This window comes from Homo sapiens, chromosome 3 (assembly GCF_000001405.40).
Source record: "Homo sapiens chromosome 3, GRCh38.p14 Primary Assembly".
In the NCBI taxonomy this organism is placed as follows: domain Eukaryota; kingdom Metazoa; phylum Chordata; class Mammalia; order Primates; family Hominidae; genus Homo; species Homo sapiens.
In genome coordinates, this window is record NC_000003.12 from 49043449 (window position 1) to 49062993 (window position 19545).

Sequence of the window (19545 nt, forward strand, 5' to 3'; positions counted from 1 at the left end):
TCACACCATTGCACTCCAGCCTGGGCAACAAGAGCAAAACTCTGTCTCAAAAAAAAAAAAAAAAAAAAAAAAAAAGTCTATTAAAAACAAAAATAGGCCAGGCACGGTGGTGGCTCACGCCTGTAATCCCAGCACTTTGGGAGGCCGAGGTGGGCAGATCACAAAGTCAGGAGTTTGAGACCAGCCTGGCCAATGTGGCAAAAGCCTGTCTCTACTAAAAATACAAAAATTAGCAGGGCATGATGGCACATGCCTGTAATCCCAGCTGCTCAGGAGGCTGAGGTAGGAGAATTGCCTGAATTGGGACCTGGGAGGCGGAGGCTGCAGTGAGCCAAGATCGTGCCACTGCACTCCACCCTGGGCTATAGAGTGAGACTCCGTTTCAAACAAAACAAAACAAAACAAAAATAGCTGAGCACAGTAGCGCATGCCTATAGCTCCAGCTACTCAGGAGGCTGAGGTAGGAGGATCGCTTGAGTTCAGGAGTTTGAGGCCCATCTCAGCAACATACCAAGACCATGTTTTTTTAAGAACAAACAAAGAAAAACACTGAATAACCTATGCTTTTGTTCCAATAGAACATGCTGTCCAGAAGGCTGCCTGTGAGTAAAGCAAAAATTATGCTCTACAGATAAAACTGTCCATAATCCTTAATTGTTATGATTCTAATTTTAATCAATACATTTTAATAGGAAAAAAAAGATAGTAACTACCCCACTAGTTCTGCTTGTTCCTGTGTCCTTCCCACACTGGAACCAGCAGGCTTCTCTGGTGAGCAGTGCCTCTTCCCTATCAGGGCAAGTAGCACAGTGGCCAATGCTGCTGCAGTCTGGGATTTATATCCCCCCTCACTCACATGCTTTTCATAGCCAACCACAGAAGCTATTGATCTTTCTTAAATCCAGGTAGGAAAGATATCCAAGGACAAGGGAGACTCTTACCAAGTGGAGTGACCCGGGGCTGAACATCCTTCAGAACTTCATGTAGCCACTCCGTGAACCGAACATAATAAAGATCGGAGAAAATGTCATCTACCCTTCCATTTTCAAAAAGATACTAAAAGAAAAACAATTAATAGAAGTTATTGGTAGTCTCCTGAACAAGGATTTCAGGGGAAATAAATATATTTTTCTACCAGTACTACTATCCTTCCCTACCCATTCACACCTCAACAAACCAAGGCACCAGCATGTGACACTTCCATAGTATGCCTAAGCTCATGTGACTGATTCTCATGACATTCTTGAGAGTTGGGTAAATAAGGCAGATGTTGTGAATGCTATTTCACCCAAGAAAGGCATTATTTTGTGTTAGCAAAAATCATGAATAGGCTCTGGGGTCAGCCTTCCATTAGATATTGTATAAGTTAAACAACATGTGCAAGTCTTTTAATTTCTGAGACTCAGTTTCCTTGCCTGTAAATGGAGATGATGGTATCTGCCTTCCAGGACTGGGAGAGCAAAGAATGAAAGCATGTAAAGCAATTCACATAGTACTTAGGTTAGGACCACCAAGAGAGGAAAAAACTAGGAGGCAGACATTTCTCAAGACTAGGCAACAGAATAAGTCCCAACCAGTAAGCCCTATTCTATTATACTGTGGGTTTCTCCTCAAGAGCCTTCAAACACTAAGAAATCCACCTCTGCTCCCTTGAACTGCCAGTCTGCAAATTTCTGTTATGCTTCACCACAGATGTCCTGAAAACCTAACTACATTGGTATATTATTCTAGCTAGACTCCTTCAAATAAGTAGTTAGTGCAGGGAACAATGAGAAGAAAACCTCTATGCTGGCACAAGACTCTGTTTTGAATAAATTACCTTCATGAAAATCAGGTTTAACAAAAAGAAAAGTGTTACATAAATGCTTTGTGAATTACAAAAAAAAAAAAAAAAAAAAAAAGTCAAGGTAATTACCAATAATGTAATAGAAGTTTAGGTAGTAGGATGAATAATGTTTGTTTTCCTATTTTATTATTTATTTTATGTATTTATTTTTTAAGAGGCAAGGTCTTGCTTTGTAGACCAGATTGAAGTGTGATGGCACAATCATAGCTGAATGCAGCCTCGCACTCCTGAGCTCAAGGGATCCTCCTGCCTCAGCCTCCCAAATAGCTGGGACTACAGGTGTGTGCCACCACACCCAGCTAATTTTTTTTCTTTTCGTTTTTCAGACAGGGTCTCACTCTGTCACCCAGGCTGGAGTGTAGTGACATAATCATGACTCACTACAGCCCCAACCTCTGGGGCTCAAGCAATCCTCCCACCTCAGCCTCCCAAGTAGCTGGGACTACAGGCATGCATTACCATACCCAGCTAATTTTTTGTAGAGATGGGGTTTCACTATGTTGCCTAGGCTGGTCTCAAACTCCTGGGGCTCAAGCGATCCTCCTGCCTTGAGCCTCCCAAAGTGCTGGGATTACAGGTGTGAGACATCTTGCCTGGCTCTTATTTTTTTTCTTTTCTTTTCTTTTTTTTTTAATTTTTGAGACAGAGTCTCGCTCTGTCACCCAGACTGGAGTAAAATGCTGTGATCTCAGCTCATTGCAACCTCTACCTCCCGGGTTCAAGCGATTCTCATGCCTCAGCCTCCCAAATAGCAGGGATTATAGGCAGTGCACCACCACACCTGGCAAATTTTTCTATTTTTAGTGGATGGGGTTTCACCATGTTGGCTGGGCTGGTCGTCTTCAACTCCTGACCTCAAGTGATCCACCTGCCTCGGCCTCCCAAAGCGCTGGGATTACAGGCGTGAGCCACCAGCGCCCGGCCCCGGCTGTTATTTTCTAAAGTGAACGTGTAGGTTTTTAAAACTTAAAAAAAAAAAAAAAACAACAAATGTGTATTTTAAAACTCACTGTATACCTGAAAGAGAACTTCCTTATTTTAACTTCTTGCTTATCAATTTATTAACTAAACTAGCAAACATCCAATAGGAACACAGCTCAAACATGTTCTTGTGAAGATCTGTTTCCTACCTTTTGAATACACAGGAAAATATAGTAGAGCACATCTGGGTCATAGGGTTCACCTTCTCCATTTCGAGCTTCCCGTGTCATTAGACAGAGCCCATAATTCAACTCTGCCACAGCAGAGGAGATGAGATCTTCCTGGAATCGCAGCAGTTGGCGCCCTGCAACGGAAGCCTCAAAAATGAATGAAGGTCCTGGGGGTCCATATCTGGAAGGCTCAGAACAGATACTGCCCATCAGGGTGCTGGGATAGAAATGCTCACTTGTATCTACTAGAATGTTTCATGCCTGTAATGTCAGAACTGGCCTATAACATGAGTATATGAGCCTAATGCCAAGAAAGAAGGGCTTGAGTGCCTATCCCTGGTTCCCATTTCCTCCCAGAAGCCACTCTGCTTAGGTCTGGTAGGGTCAACTCCTGAAACCCGTATGTCTAAAAATGCCTGGTTTTGGGCAAACCCCACATATCCTGCTTATTATGTACACAAGGTCAGTACTGCTTGTTACTAGGCTTGAATTCAACATACTATTACAGATGTTGCTCTCTTGTCCCCAAGACAGGAGACACCACTTTTCTGGCATTTTGTCCTCCTGTTACTTTAGTACCATTGCATTTTAGACACAGCCCACTCTTCTTCCAAGACACTCACTCCCAATGGGTGCCAATCTGTTCTGAGCATCCTTCTCTAGTTCAGCATTCTTGGTCTGGGCCCAGTTTTTCCATACTTCAAGCCCTTCTTCTGGCTTCAAAGAATTTGGAAGCAGAAGTTCTGGGGAAGGCTGTGGCTGTGACTGTGGTTCAACTTCAGCAACCTGGACAGTTTGAGCCTATAGGAGAGAAACCATGAAAATGTGTCAATATTGTTTTATATTAGATCCTTCTGCAAAATTGCCAGAAAAATGTTATGTATAGTTCATTTATTTAAGAAAATATTTCTCTACTCATTGCTGTCCTACTTTTAAGAAGCTTTGGAGTTCTACCTCTTGCCCCAGGGACAGCAAAAGCAGCACTGCAACTGGGCTAGTGCAGTGCTTCTCAGCCTTGGCTGCACTTTTAAATGTTTTTTTTTTTTTTTTTTTTTGAGACGGAGTTTTCCTCTTGTTGCTCAGGCTGGAGTGCAATGGCGCAATCTCAGCTCACTGCACCCTCCGCCTCCCGGGTTCAAGTGAGTCTCCTGTCTCAGCCTCCCGAGTACCTGGGTTTACAGGCATGCACCAACACGGCCAGCTAATTTTATAATTTTAGTCGAGACGGAGTTTCGCCATGTTGGTCAGGCTGGTCTTGAACTCCCAACCTCAGGTAATCTGCCCGCCTCAGTCTCCCAAAGTGCTGGGATTACAGGCGTGAACCACTGTGCCCGGTCAAATCTTTTATTTAAAAACACTAATAGCCAGACTTACCCCAGAATCTCTCTGAGGGGGAGCCAAGGTATCAATTGTTTAAAAACTCCTTGAGTAAGATTGCACCACTGCACTCCAGCCTGGTGATAGAGCGAGACTCTGTCTCGAAAAAAGAAAAAAGAAAAAACAAAACAAAACAAAAAAACTCCTCAAGTAAAAAAGTAATTCTAATGTTTGGTCACCACTGAGAACTACTGGCTCAAAGCACTGCTCCCACAGTCTTTAATGTGCAAACAAATCACTTGGGGATTTTATCAAAATGCATATTCTGATTGAAAAGGGTAGGAACTGAGACAACATTTCTTTCTTTCTTTTTTTTTTTTTTGGCGGGGAAAGAGTTTCGCTCTTGTTCTTGGATGCTGGAGTGCAATGGCAGGATCTCGGCTCACCTCAACCTCTGTCTCCCGGGTTCAAGCTATTCTCCTGCCTCAGCCTCCCAAGTAGCTAGGATTACAGGCATGTGCCACCACGCCCGGCTAATTTTGTATTTTTAGTAGAGATGGGGTTTCTCCATGTTGGTCAGGCTGGTCTTGACTCCCATCTTCAGGTGATCCGCCCTCCTCAGCCTCCCAAAGTGCTGGGACTACAGGCTTGGGCCATCGGCCGAGAGCACTGATTCTTAAACTGGGTCTCACCTTGAAATCATCTGGATTGCTTTAAAAAAAAAAAAAAAAAAAAACCCACCCTGGCCGGGTGCAGTGGCTCACACCTGTAGTCCCAGCACTTTGGGAGGCCGAGGTGGGTGGATCACGAGGTCAAGAGACTGAGACCATCCTGGCTAACACGGTGAAACCCCATCTCTACTAAAATACAAAAAAATCAGCCGGGTGTGGTGGCGGGCGCCTGTAGTCCCAGCTACTCAGGAGGCTGAGGCAGGAGAATGGCATGAATCCAGGAGGCGGAGCTTGCAGTGAGCCGAGATCGCACCACTGTACTCCAGCCTGGGTAACAGAGTGAGACTCTGTTCACAAAAAAAAAAACCAAAAAAAAAAAAAAAGAAAGAAACCTCACACTTGGGCCTTATCTCCAGCCATTGTAAGGTAGAGGCACATTGTCAGTATTTTTAAAAGCTTCCCATGTGATTTTTTTTTTTTCCCTCTGAGATGGAGTCTTGCTCTTTCGCCTAGGCTGGAGTGCAGTGGCACGATCTCGGCTCACTGCAACCTTCACCTCCCAGGTTCAAACGATTCTCCTTTCTCAGCCTCCCGAGTAGCTAGGATTACAGATATGCACCACCATGCCCAACTAATTTTTGTAGTTTTCGTAGAGACGGCTGTTATTGAACCATCTTGCTGGCTGGTATCGAACTCCTGACCTCGACTGATCTGCCCGCCTTGGCCTCCCAAAGTGCTGGGATTACAGGCATGAGCCACTGTGCCTGGCCTTCCCAGGTGATTTTAATGTCCAGCCACAGTTGAGCCATCATTTAAAGAAAAAAAAAGTGGTGAAACCCCATCTCTACTAAAAATAGAAAAATTAGCCAGGCATAGTGGCTCATGCCTGTAATCTCAGCTACTTGGGAGGCTGCAGCATAAGAATCACTTGAACCCAGGAGACGGAGGTTACAGTGAGCTGAGACAGTGCCACTGCACTCCAGCCTGGGTGACACAGAAAGATTCTGGCTCAAAAAATAAAAATAAAAAAGTGAATGTTTGAATAATGTTAAAATATTTCCAACTTTTTAAAATTCTTTTTTTGAGCAAAGTCTTGCTCTACCACCCAGGCTGGAGAGCAGTGGCATGATCTTGGCTCACCACAACCTCCGCCTCCCAGGTTCAAGGCATTCTCCTGCCTCAGCCTCCCGAGTAGCTGGGATTACAGGTGTCTGCCATCATGCCCGGCTAATTTTTGTATTTTTAGTAGAGACGGGGTTTCACCATGTTGGCCAGGCTGGTCTCAAACTCCCGACCTCAGGTGATCCGTCTGCCTTGGCCTCCCAAAGTGCTGGGATTACAGGCGTGAGCCACCATACCCGGCCAGATTCTGAAGAGATCTTTATACCCTAAAAATATTAAAATTCCAAGATTTTCCATTTTTTTAGTTTGGACTCTGATTTTGAAAGGCAAGAACTGAGTCACCACATGTTCAAAGAATGTGCTTGAGCTGGGCGCGGTGGCTCACACATAATCCCAGCACTCTGGAGGCCGAGGCAGGCAGATCACTTCAGGTCAGGAGTTGGAGACCAGCCTGGCCAACATGCTGAAACCCTGTCTCTACCAGAAATATAAAAAATTAGGCTGGGCGCGGTGGCTCACGCCTGTAATCCCAGCACTTTGGGAGGCCGAGGCGGGCGGATCACAAGGTCAGGAGATCGAGCTACTTGGGAGGCTGAGGCAGGAGAATGGCGTGAACCTGGGAGGCGGAGCTTGCAGTGAGCCAAGATTGTGCCACTGCAATCCGGCCTGGGCTAAAGAGCGGGACTCCGTCTCAAAAAAAAAAAAAAAAAAAAAAAAATTAGCCGGGTGTGGTAGCACACGCCTGTAATCCCAGCTACTTGGGAGGCTGAGGCAGGAGAATCGCTTGAACCTGGGAGGCAGAGGTTGCAGTGAGCCAAGATGGTGCCACTGCACTCCAACCTGGGCGACAGAGCCAGACTCTGTCTCAAAAAAAAAAAAAAAAAAAAAAAAGAATGTGCTTGGATTCTCAAAGGTGCTATAAAATGGCAAAAAATGAATTCAAATCACCCAAAGCCCTAGTTTCGCTCACTCACTAAATTCAAAAAACATGTGCAAAGTTTTGCATCAGGCCCAGAATACTGCGATATATTAAATTACAGTCCAGGGCAAAGAGCTGATTCAATCTGCAGCGTTGTGAAGAAAATCTTTGGCATCAGTTTTTCTCCTTAACTGCACTGACTAATCCAAGGATCACAAAAAACAACAACAACAACAACAACAACAACAAAAACCTATTACTCAAACAATTTCTTTGAAACAGTTCCATGAACTGCCAACCATCATGCCCCTCTAAGACATCTAGCACAGACCAGGAGGGCAGCTGAGCTCAGGGCCAGAGGACCCAATAGCAACAGAAGCCGCTGAGTGACCCATGCAGACATCCCCTCCTCCCCACCACCCACAGGCCCAAGCCTCCCTTTACCTAGTCAATAAGTACTTTCTTAGCTCAGGGAGCAACCCATCTTTCCCCCACTGTTTTATTAAAAAGTTTGTCACCAATTACCGTCTTGCTCAAAGCCAAGTCTCTAGCTGGGCCCAGACATTCTTGCCCTTTCTTCTACTTTTAATCTGAGGACTCATTCTCTGATTTCCATAGACCTTTGATCCAGATGCTGCATTCAGAGCTCCAATCACTATTCTGTCTACCCCAGAAATGAGCAATCTCTTCTTGGTGGCCTGTAGTAGCTGCTGCCACCACTACCAGCAATACCACCCTCCTTGTACTCCCCAGTCACATACACCTGAAATGAAAGGGTCAAATGCAATGGATGCTTTGGCCTTAACCTACTGGACCTTTCTGGCACATCCAACAATGTCACTCACAACATTGTCCTTTGCACTCTGCTCGGCTTCCTGATATATCATCCTCCCGGACCTCCCTCAGCTATCTAGCAGCTATTTCTCTGTATGCTTTGGGTTTTTCTCTGCCAGGCCCTTACGTGTTTGTCAACCATAGAGCTCCTCTATAGACCCACTTCTCATTTCAACTACATGTTCTCCCTGGTGAGTCTCACCCACTTTTCCAGTTTGGATATCCATATTTGTCAAAGTGACCACTATGTACCTCCAAGCTAGAACCCCCCCTGCGCCCCCCCCCCCCTCCGCTTAATATACCTAGTGGGTACTATACATCTCCAACTGAACAACTCATAGCCACCTCAAACTAACATCTACAAAGAGTATTCATTAGCTTCCCTGCCCAGATCTATTCTCCTGAGTTACCTCTCTCCTTCGTTCAATGGCAACATCATTTACCCAAACTGGAAATCCAGGAGTCTGGCTGAACAAGTAGGCAGTGGCTAGAGCATGGGAGGCAGTGCTTCTGTAGCAGGCCCCCTTCACTGTGTGCTTCCAAACACTAAATGTCAGTTAACATTCCCAAGCATCTTCCAAAAATTCTTCCAAACGTGTCCAAATGTCTATCAGTGGGTGGAGGAGGCAATAATGCAACCCAGGTTGAAAGCTACTCATACAGAGTATTGTACATTGTGGTGTAAATTTGTTCCTACATATAATGGAAGCCTTGGAGAGTTTTAAGCTAGGAAGTGACATAATCTTGTATTTTATGATTATTCTATGAAGAATAAATTGAAGAACAAGAATGGAAGCAAGTACTGGTGGCCTAGACTATAGTGGTGGCAGTGGAGATGATATAAGAGATTTTGAGAGGTGTGATGGTAGAACCAACATGGCTTGTTGATGAACTGGTTGTGGGGAGTAAGGGAAAGCAGACACAAAGATGACTCCTGGGTTTCTGGTTTGAACAACTAGGCGGAGAGCAGCACTACTTTCTGAGACAAGGAAGTTTGACAGTTTTAGAAATGGTGCCAATGAAGATCTGAGGTATTGTCAATAAGTCCAAGTAAATGCTAAGTAGGCAGCTGAATATGTGGAAAAGGTTCCAAACAGAGGAAGGCATGGCCGAGAGACTTATGTGTCAGTGCAGCACAGGGATTAAGACACAGGCTCCAGGGCCAGCCCATGCAGGGTTGAATCTCAATTCTGCCCCTTTTTTGTTTGTTTGTTTGAGATGGAGTTTCGCTCTGTCACCCAGGCTGGAGTGCAGTGGCGCGATCTCGGCTCACTGCAACCTCCACCTCCCAGGTTCAGGCAATTCTGTGCCTCAGCCTCCCAGGTAGCTGGCGCCCACCACCATGCCCAGCTAATTTTTTTATTTTTTTATTTTTTAGTAGAGACGGGGTTTCACCATCTTGGCCAGGCTGGTCTTTAACTCCTGACCTCGTGATCCACCCACCTCGGCCTCCAAAAGTGCTGGGATTATAGGTGTGAGCCACCACGCCTGGCCAATTCTGCCACTTTTTAAGCATGGCTTTGGCCTTGTCACTTAATCTCTCTGTGCCTGAGTTTCCTCATCTGTAAAACAGAAGTATCAGTACATACTTCATAAGGTTAATGTGAAAATTAGAAGAATATGTTAAACATCAAGAACAGTAGTACTGGCAGATAGTATCAGTGATTATCATCTTCAGCAGCAGCAAGAATCATCTGGAGGATGCTGAAAACCATGGCAATGGAAAGAAATCCCTTAGGGAGAAGAGGGCCAAATACTGAACCCTCAGGAACATCAACATGTATGATTCAGAGAGAGGAGGAGAAGGCACCGGTAAGCCTCCTGGGAATAAAGAAGATTCAGATGGGTAGGAGGAAAATCAGGAATGTGTAATAACATGCAAGTCTAAAGAAAGTCTCGGCCAGGCGCGGTGGCTCACGCCTGTAATCCCAGCACTTTGGGAGGCCGAGGCAGGTGGATCACGAGGTCAGGAGATCGAGACCATCCTGACTAACATGGTGAAACCTTGTCTCTACTAAAAATACAAAAAATTAGCCGGGTGTGGTGGCGGGCGCCTGTAGTCCCAGCTACTCGGGAGGCTGAGGCAAAATGGTGTGAACTCGGGAGGCGGAGGTTGCAGTGAGCCGAGATCGCACCACTGCACTCCAGCCTGGGTGACAGAATGAGACCCCCTGTCTCAAAAAAAAAAAAAAAAAAACAAGTCTCAACAATGGGCTGCTGTGTTGTATGTTGCTGTAGGATAAAAACATACTTGCTGGTCTGAACTGGCTATAGGGGGGTCACTGCTGACCTTGACAAGAACAGATTTAGTCATGAGTTGAAGGGAAATTTTTACAGCATCTAGAGCCCAGCTTGTGTAGATAATGTTTCTTTAGAGTTCTGGCAATAAAGTAGAACAGAAAAATGGGGCCACAGATGGCGGTTGGTGTGAGGAAGTGAGATTTCACCATAAATCTGGTTTTAAAGACAGAAGATATGATAGCTTTCATAAAAGGTATGGCCCTCTCCAACCTGTGGCAGATGAAGGAACACATTTTGTCACTAGCTCCCCTTAGGGTTCAACTTGACTGTCTTCTGCATGTGCTGTAAAGTGGTCCAAGGGTAGAAAAGACTGTCTTATTCATCTCTATTCCCCAGCTCCTAGCACAGAGCCTGCATAAGAGGGGAGAGGGATGTTTGTGGTATATATAGACAAACTCATCTTTCCCTTGGCATCTTTCCCTTGGGATGGAAAATCGGGATTCTTCACAATTTTTCTATTTCTGGTAATAATAACTTCATGTAAATCACTCTAAGACTTTCCCAAATCAGATACAGCCTCTGAAGAACACTGGCCCACTAAAATGAACTCCAGAAAGGATCTTCTCCTGCTGAAGACCCAGACATGGAAATTATAAACAGAGACCACTAAGTACCAAATGAGGCACTGACCTGCAATTGGACCATCAGGCCCAGGAGAGCTAGGGGAGGCCTAATGGGCTCCATCTCTGTGAACAAAAGCTGAGCATAGAGACCTGTTACAAATCTACTGGCTAGTTTCTCCTATATGCAGTCAATTCTACACACATCTACTTGATTCCTCCTGTTACCACAAATCTAGGAAATTCCTGATTTCCTACCACAGATTAGATCAAACTCAGTTCTACTTTGGGAAGGCAACAACCCCACCCCCACCCCTCAATACTAACTCCATTCTCACAGTTCCCTTCTCAAGTTGCATTAGGGCATGTCCCTTCTGTCCATCCTTGGCTCTGTATTTATGCTGTTCCATTCTTTTGTTTATCTAAACTATAAACTACAGTTCAACAGTTCAAGGCAGGGTGCAGTGGCTCATGCCTGTAATCCCAACATTCTGGGAGGCCAAGGTGGGAGGATCACTTGAGGCCAGGAGTTCAAGAGCAGCCTGGGCAACACAGTGAGACCCTGTCTCTACAAATATATATATATGCCGAGTGTGGTAGTCTGTGCCTATAGTCCCAGCTACTTGGGAGGCTGAGGCGGGAGGATTTTATGAGCCCAGGAGTTAGAGGCTACAGTGAATTATGATCACTACCATACTCCTACCTGGGAAACAAAGCAACAACCTGTCTCAAAAATAAATAAACTACAGTTCAAACGTCATTTTGTCCACAAAGACCTCTGTTGACTTCTTAACCTAGAATTTCTAAATTCCCAGTTTGTCTTTGTGTATATGTCATAATTATTCTGCCTTATAAATAATTCGAAGGAAAAGAAATCCTGAGTTCTTACTTTTCACAACTAGACTCTAAGCTATATGAAGCAAAAAACCTTCTCTTATTCTATTTCTAGGCCCAACAGCTAGATATTTAGCAGGTCCTTAACAATGTCACCTAGGATAATATGATACTGCCTCTATGAAACCACCTGGTCAACCTTTGCTTAATTAATCACTTACAGCCCATGTTTCCAAGTGCAGTCCCTTATCTAACTTGTTTGTACCAGCTCCCACAAACATATGCATGCTCAGGAGCCTATGCCCACCGAGGCATAGCACCTTCATCAGTCCCATAAGACCAGAGGCCCTATATCCCACTCTAACGGGACCAGATATTTTACCAATCAGTTCTTTTAGACAGGGTCTCACTCTGTTCTCTAGGCTGAAATGCAATGGCATGATCATAGTAGCCTCAACCTCCCAGGCTCATGCAACCCTCGCATCTACGCTGGGACCACAGGTATGTGCCATCACACTAGACTATATTTTTTAAATTTTTGTAGAGATAGGGTCTTCCTATATTGCCCAGGCTGATCTCAAACTCCTGGGCTCAAGCATTCCTCCCACCTCAGCCTCCCAGACTGCTGGGATTACAGGCAACTGCCACTGCACCCAGCACTAATAGTTTTTTTGTTTGTTTGTTTTGAGACAAAGTCTTGCTATGTTGCCCCAGGTTGGAGTGCAGTGGCACGATCTCAGCTCACTGCAACCTCTGCTTCCCAGGTTCAAGCAATTCTCCTGCTTCAGCCTCCTGAGTAGGATTACCTGGGATTATAGGTGTGTGCCACCACACCCGGCTAATTTTTGTATTTTTAGTAGAGACGGGGTTTCACCATGTTGGCCAAGCTGATCTCAAACTCCTGACCTCTGGTGACTCACCCGCCTTGGCCTCCCAAAGTACTGGGGTAACATGCATGAGCCACCGTGCCTGGCCCCTACTTTTTTCTTTTGACAGAGTTTTGCTCCTGTTGTCCAGGCTGGAATGCAATGGCGCAATCTCAGCTCACTGCAACCTCTGCCTCCTGGGTTCAAGTGATTCTCCTGCCTCAGCCTCCCGAGTAGCTGGGATTACAGGTACCTGCCACCATGCCCAGCTAATTTTTGTATTTTTAGTAGAGACGTGGTTTCATCATATTGGCCAGGCTGGTCTCAAACTCCTGACCTTGTGATCCGCCTGCCTCGGCCTCCCAAAGTGCTGGGATTACAGAAGTGCACCACCTCGCCCGGCCGCCCCCGTAACACAAAAACTCTTGGGAGGTCCCACCACATAGACGGCATATTCAAGCCTCCCAATGGTGATCACTTTTAACAGGCTCCTTATGAGTTATTTTAGCTTTTCTAATTCACCCACACTGTGTGCCCAAAGATGAAAAACAGAATGAACAATCTCACAGCCTCTCCAGTGATGAGTTTGTAATCTATGTGATAAACTACAAGTGTTTTGCTAAAACCATTTACTTATGATACAAGGAAACAGCACTGGGACACACTTGAGGTGTCCCATTCATCTACACCTGTAACTTTACTCTTCCTGAGAAGAGATTACAAAGAAGTGTCCATGGTACTTAAACCCAAAATGTCTCCAAAACTCCAAAGCAATTCCTGGCCATCTCATTTACCTCCAGGTACCAGGATAAACTCTTTTTTCTGTTGCATAGCCTCACGTGATGTTTCTCCCCCTCTTCTCCCAAATACTAAATACTGCATCACTGTAAGAGTAACAGCAGTAAATAAGCCAGAGGTTGCGAGGCAAGCTCTGTGCTGCACTGGGCCCTGAGGGACCAGGCTGCCTGCCCTACTGATAAGTCTTCACTTACTGAACAAGTAACTTGGAGTTGCTGCTGCTGCTGCTGTGGTGGTGGTGTCTGTTCCTGGGGAGTTTGCTGCTGCGGCTGCTGTTGGGGGTCCCATATATGGACAGTTTGAGCCGTATTCTGGTACGTGCCTGCCACAGCCTGCACAGCCACTGGAATGTGGATGTTGCCATTCATGAACTGTGCTGGAAAGAGAGAGTTTGCAAGGGTCTGCACTACCTCTTCATGGGAGTTTTTCACTACAGATGTGGTGCCCACCATCTTCTCCTTGTCATCCTCCAGCTTAACAGCTGCCAGGGCTGTGGGTGAGCCACTGACGTGAACTGCGTTGTAGGCTTCCTGGGGAATGGCAATGTGGGTAATGCTCTGCTGCTGAGGGTCCCCCCGGGGCTGGGCAGAATAAACAGGGATGGTCCAGGTTTCTCCTGTAGGGCTAGTAATGGTCCCAGTGGCACTGTACAGGTGGGCACTGTCTACTGTCAGTAAGTCTGGCCTCAAAGACACATAACTCTGCTGCTGGCCCTGTGGAATGGCCAGCACGGTGGCCACCGGCTGCCCTGAGATGGCGTAGGACACAGTGATGGGCATGTCCACTTTGCGCTTCTTCACTGGTTGGAGGACACTGGCCGTGCCAACCCGCCGCTCCCCTTCCCGGGGTGAGCCCTGCTGGGATGGTGGTGGGGAAAGGGCACCCACGGTCTGGATTTGGATCTGCTGACCACCAGCAAGAGACTGGCCAGCCACCAGCTGAGCCTGGATTTGCTGATGTGGGATGTGCTCCTCCGGGATTTCTGCAGCCTGGATCTGCTGGGCTGCTTGCACGTGCTGCACCTGGATCTGAGCTGCTTGCAGCTGCGAGGGACTGGGACTCTGCAGAGACGGGGTCTGAATGGAGGGGGCTGCTGACTGTGGTGCCTGGCCTTGGATCTGCACCTGGACCTGGATGGGTTGCTCAGTAGGCTGGTGAACGGTGAGTTGTGGGGAGAGCTGAGCCGAGACCTGTTGCGGAGACTGCTGTACCTGCACCTGGACCTGTAAGCAACAAGATTCATCAGTGAGTGAACCAGGCAGCACTGAAAATCCAGTACCCAAGGAAAGAAAGAAAAGAGATCCCAGACAGGGGACCTGCAAAATGTGAGAAAACACTGGCATACTCAAGGCTTCTGAGAAGGACACAATACGTAAGACTAGATCCAGGATTGTCCAGCAGCACATTACAATAACAGGGACATATATCCACCCCAGAGAGCAAGCAAGACAATTAACTGGGGCCTAAAAAGGAAATACCAAAAAAAAAAATTTTTTTTTTTTAAGATGGACTCGCTCTGTCGCCCAGGCTGGAATGCAGTGGCGCAATCTCAGCTCACTGCAACCTCCGCCTGCTGGGATCAAGCGATTCTCCTGCCTCAGCTTCCTAGAGTAGCTGGGATTACAGACATGCTGGAGTCTAACAAGGAAATATCAAAACTTTGGTTCTTTTTTTTTTTCCCCAAATTCTCATTGTGTCGCCCAGGCTGGAATGCAGTGGTGCCATCTCAGCTCACTGCAATCTCCACCTCTCAGGCTCAAGCAATTCTTGAAGCCAGCCTCCCGAGTATCTGGGATTATAGACATGTGCCACCATACCCAGCTAATTTTTGTATTTTTAGTAGAGACGAGGTTTCACCATGTTGGCCAAGCTAATCTTGAACTCCTGACCTCAACTGGTCCACCCACCTCGGCCTCCCAAAGTGCTGGGATTACAGGTGTGAGCCGAAACGGCCGGCATTTTTATTTCCATTTTCTTTGAGGCGGAGTTTTGCTCTTGTTGCCCAGGCTGGAGTGCAGTGGCATGATCTTGGCTCACTGCAACCTCAACCTCCTGGGTTCAAGCAATTCTCTTGCCTCAGCCTCCTGAGTAGCTAGGATTACAGGAATGCATCACCATGCCCAGCTGATTTTGCATTTTTAGTAGAGACAGGATTTCTCCATGTTGGTCAGGCTGGTCTCGAACTCCCGACCTCAAGTGATCCGCCCACCTTGGCCTCCAAAACTGTTGAGATTACAGGCGTGAGCCACCACGGCCAGCATTTTAAAAATTGTTTTTGAAATGGAGTTTCACTCTTTTTTTTTTTTTTTTTTGAGACGGAGTCTCGCTTTGTCGCCCAGGCTGGAGTGCAGTGGTGCCATCTCAGCTCACTGCAAGCTCCGCCTCCCGGGTTCACGCCATTCTCCTGCCTCAGCCTCCCGGGTAGCTGGGACTACAGGTGCCTGCCACCACACCCGGCTAATTTTTTTTTTGTATTTTTAGTAGAGATGGAATTTCACCATGTTAGCCAGGATGGTCTCCATCTCCTGACCTCGTGATCCGCCCGCCTTGGCCTCCCAAAGTGCTGGGATTACAGGCGTGAGCCATCACAAGGGACCGTTTTTTTCTCTAAAGATAGGGTCTTGCTCTGTTGCCCAGGTTAGAGTACCGTGATAAGATGATAGGGCACTTTAAACTTCAAACTCCTCAAGTGATCCTCCCACCTCAGCCTGCTAAATAGCTAGAACTACAGGAACACCACCACCACACCCAGCTAATTTTTTTTTTTTTTTTTTAGACAGAGTCTCGCTGTTACCAGGCTGGAGTGCAGTAGTATGATCTCAGCTCACTGCAACCTCCGCCTCCTGGGTTCAAGCTATTCTCCTGCCTCAGCCTCCTGAGTAGCTGGGACTACAGACGCATGCCACCACCCCCAGCTAATTTCTGTATTTTTAGTAGAGACGAGGTTTCACCATGTTGGTTGGCCAGGATGGTCTCGATCTCTTGACCTTGTGATCCGCTCACCTTGGCCTCCCAAAGTGCTGGGATTACAGGCTTGAGCCACCATGCCTAGCCTTATTTATTTATTTTCTGAGATGGAGTTTCGCTCGTTCCCCAGGCTGGAGTGATATGGTAGTCACGGCTCACCGTAACCTCTGCATCCCGGATTCAAGCTATTCTCCTGCCTTAGCCTCCCAAGTAGCTGGGATTACATGTGCCTGCCATCACATCCAGCTAACTTTTTTTTTTTTTTTTTGAGACGGAGTCTCGCTCTATCGCCCAGGCTAGAGTGCAGTGGTGCGATCTCGGCTCACTACAACCTCCACTTCCCCGGTTCAAGCGATTCTCCTGTGTCAGCCTCCCGAGTAGCTGGGACTACAGGTGCGTGCCACCACGCCCGGCTGATTTTTTTATTTTTAGTAGAGACAGGGTTTCACCGTGTTAGCCAGGATGGTCTTGATCTCCTGACCTCATGATCCGCCCACCTCGGCCTCCCAAAGTGCTGGGATTACAGGCGTGAGCCACCACGCCCAGACCTAATTTATATATACATATATATGTTTTTGAGACCAAGTCTCGCTCTGTCGCCCAGGCTGGAGTGCAGTGGTGTGATCTCAGCTCACTGCAAGCTCCGCCTCCCAGGTTCATGCCATTCTCCTGCCTCAGCCTCCCAAGTAGCTGGGACCACAGGCACCCGCCACCACGACTGGCTAATTTTTTGTATTGTTATTAGAGACAGGGTTTCACCGTGTTAGCCAGGATGGTCTTGATCTCCTGACCTCGTGATCTGCCTGCCTTGGCCTCCCAAAGTGCTGGGATTACAGGTGTGAGCCACCACACCCAGCCCTAATTTTTGTATTTTTAGTAGAGACGGGGTTTCACCATGTTGGCCAGGCTGGTCCAAAACTCCTGACCTCAGGTGATCCACCAGCCTTGGCCTCCCAAAGTGCTGGGATTATAGGCGTGAGCCACCATACCCAGCCCCCAGCCTGATTTTTTGGGCAGAAGTCCCCAACCCTGGGGCCAAGGACTAGTACTGGTCCGTAGGCGAACGACACAGCACAGAGGTGAGCATTACCACCTGAGCTCCACCTCCTGTCAGATCAATGGTGGCATTAGACTCTTGTAGGAGCACAAACCCTATCGTGAACTGCAAATGTGAGGTATCTAGGCTGCATGCTCCTTATTAGAATCTAATGCCTGGCCAGGTGCATTGGCTCACACCTGTAATCCCAGTACTTTGGGAGGCTGAGGAGGGCAGATCACTTGAGGCCAGGAGTTCAAGACCAGCCTGGCCAACATGGTGAAACCCCACCTCTACTTCTACTAAAAATATAAAAAATTATCCAGGCATGGTGGTGCATGCCTGTAATCCCAATTACCTGAGAGGCTGAGGCAGAATAGCTTGAACCCAGGAGGCGGAAGTTGAAGTGAGCAGAGAGAGCACCACTGCATCACAGCCTGGGTGACAGAGTGAGCCTCCATCTTAAAAAAAAAAAAAAAAAAAAAAAAAAAAAAAAATCTAACACCTAATGATGTGAGGTGAAACAGTTTCATCCCAAAGCACCACCCCCATCAATGTCTGTGGAAAACTGTCTTCCACAAAACGAGTCCCTGGTGCAAAAAACGTTGGGGACCACTGCTTTAGAGTGCTTACTTAACATATGTTTAATGGGAAAGGCATTTAAATAAACAGAATCCCAATAATTTAATCTGAGCAATATTACCATAACCTGGATGACATGTTTCTGATAACAATACAGTTACTGTCTTATTATTATGTCAGCATGCAAAAGAGCATGAAAAGAAAAAAATACATAGTATGCAACTTTTAAAAAACAGCTTTTACCATCAGACACATAGATAAATTACCCTAACCACAAGTAGGAATTAGAAAGGTAGAAAACAAGAAGGCAGAAAATGAGGCCAGGCACAGTTGCTCATGCCTGTAATCCCAGCTCTGTGGGAGGCCAAGGTGGGTGGATCACCTGAGGTCAGGAGTTTGAGACCAGCCTGACCGACATGGTGAAACCCCGTCTCTACTAAAAATACAAAACTAGCCAGGCATGGTGGTGCATGCCTGTAATCCCAGCTACTTGGGAGGTTGAGGCAGGTGAACTACTAAACCCAGGAGGTGGGGGTTGCAGTGAGCCGAGATTGCACCACTGCACCACAGCATGGGCAACAAGAGTGAAACTATCTCCCAAAAAAAAGAATATATGCAAATGGCCAAGAACCACATAAAAAGTTGCTCCATATCATACTAGCTGTGAAGGAAATTCCAATCAAAGCCACAATGAGAAACCACTTTATATCTAATAAGTTATATCTAAAAAAGACAGATAACAAGTATAGGTAAGGATATAGACAACTTGAAACTGCTGGTGGGCATGTTAAATTGGTGTAGTTGGCCAGATGCGGTGGCTCACACCTGTAATCCCAGCACTTTGGGAGGCTGAGGCCAGTGGACACAAGGTCAGGAGTTCCAGACCAGCCTGGCCAACATGGTGAAACCCTGTCTCTACTAAAAATACAAAAATTAGCTGGGCGTGGTTACACATGCTTGTAATCCCAGCTACTCGGAAGGCTGACGCAGCAAAATTGCCTGAACCTGGGAGGTGGAAGCTAGTGAGCCGAGATGGCGCCACTATACCCAGCCCAGTCAAGGACAGAGTGAGACTCCATCTCAGAAAAAAAAAAAAACAAGAAAAAATTGGTGTAGTCGCTTTTTTTTTTTTTTTTGGGAGGTAAAGTCTTGCCCTGTTGCCCAGTGGTGGAATCTCAGCTTACTGCAACCTCCGCCTCCCTGGTTCAAACAATTCTCCTGCCTCAGCCTCCTGAGTAGCTAGGATTACAGGCACGCATCACCATGCCCAGCTAAATTTTGCATTTTTAGCACAGACAGGGTTTCACCATGTTAGCCAGGCTGGTCTCAAACTCTTAACCTCAAGTGATCCACCTGCCTTGGCCTCCCAAAGTGCTGGGATTACATGTGTGAGCCAGTGTGCCTGAATTATACATTTCAAATGGGTAACTTATATCTCAATAAAGCTGTTACTAAGTATATTTTTTAAAAAAAGGCCGGGCGCTGTGGCTCACACCTGTAATCCCAGCACTTTGGGAGGCCGAGGCAGGCGGATCATGAGGTCAGGAGATCAAGACCATCCTGGCTAACATGGTGAAACCCCATTTCTATTAAAATAATTAGCCAGGCGTGGTGACGGGTGCCTGTAGTCCCAGCTACTCGGGAGGCTGAGACAGGAGAATGGCGTGAACCTGGGAGGCGGAGTTTGCAGTGAGCCAAGATCGCGCCACTGCACTCCAGCCTGGGTGACAGAACGAGACTC

General features: G+C 46.7%; 1 protein-coding gene across 10 annotated transcripts in view, besides 1 other annotated feature; it reads right to left on the bottom strand.

The window, feature by feature from the left end:
• Positions 1–19545, bottom strand: part of QRICH1 (glutamine rich 1) — a 64667-nt gene that overhangs the window by 13742 nt on the left and 31380 nt on the right. For all 10 annotated transcript variants that reach the window (NM_001320584.1, NM_001320585.1, NM_198880.3 and 7 more), the window contains 4 exons: positions 13414–14442; positions 3621–3798; positions 2977–3131; positions 942–1056 (listed from right to left, as the gene is read on the bottom strand). In NM_001320584.1, the coding sequence (NP_001307513.1) occupies positions 942–1056; positions 2977–3131; positions 3621–3798; positions 13414–14442 (1477 nt within the window). The remainder of the gene's footprint in view (positions 1–941; positions 1057–2976; positions 3132–3620; positions 3799–13413; positions 14443–19545) is intronic.
• Positions 16288–16787: an enhancer, noted in NCBI's record as "H3K4me1 hESC enhancer chr3:49097169-49097668 (GRCh37/hg19 assembly coordinates)". NCBI's record gives its function as "activates a minimal SCP1, AML or CMV promoter by ChIP-STARR-seq in primed H9 embryonic stem cells {active_cell/tissue: H9 hESC(primed)}" and the evidence as "EXISTENCE:reporter gene assay evidence [ECO:0000049][PMID:30033119]".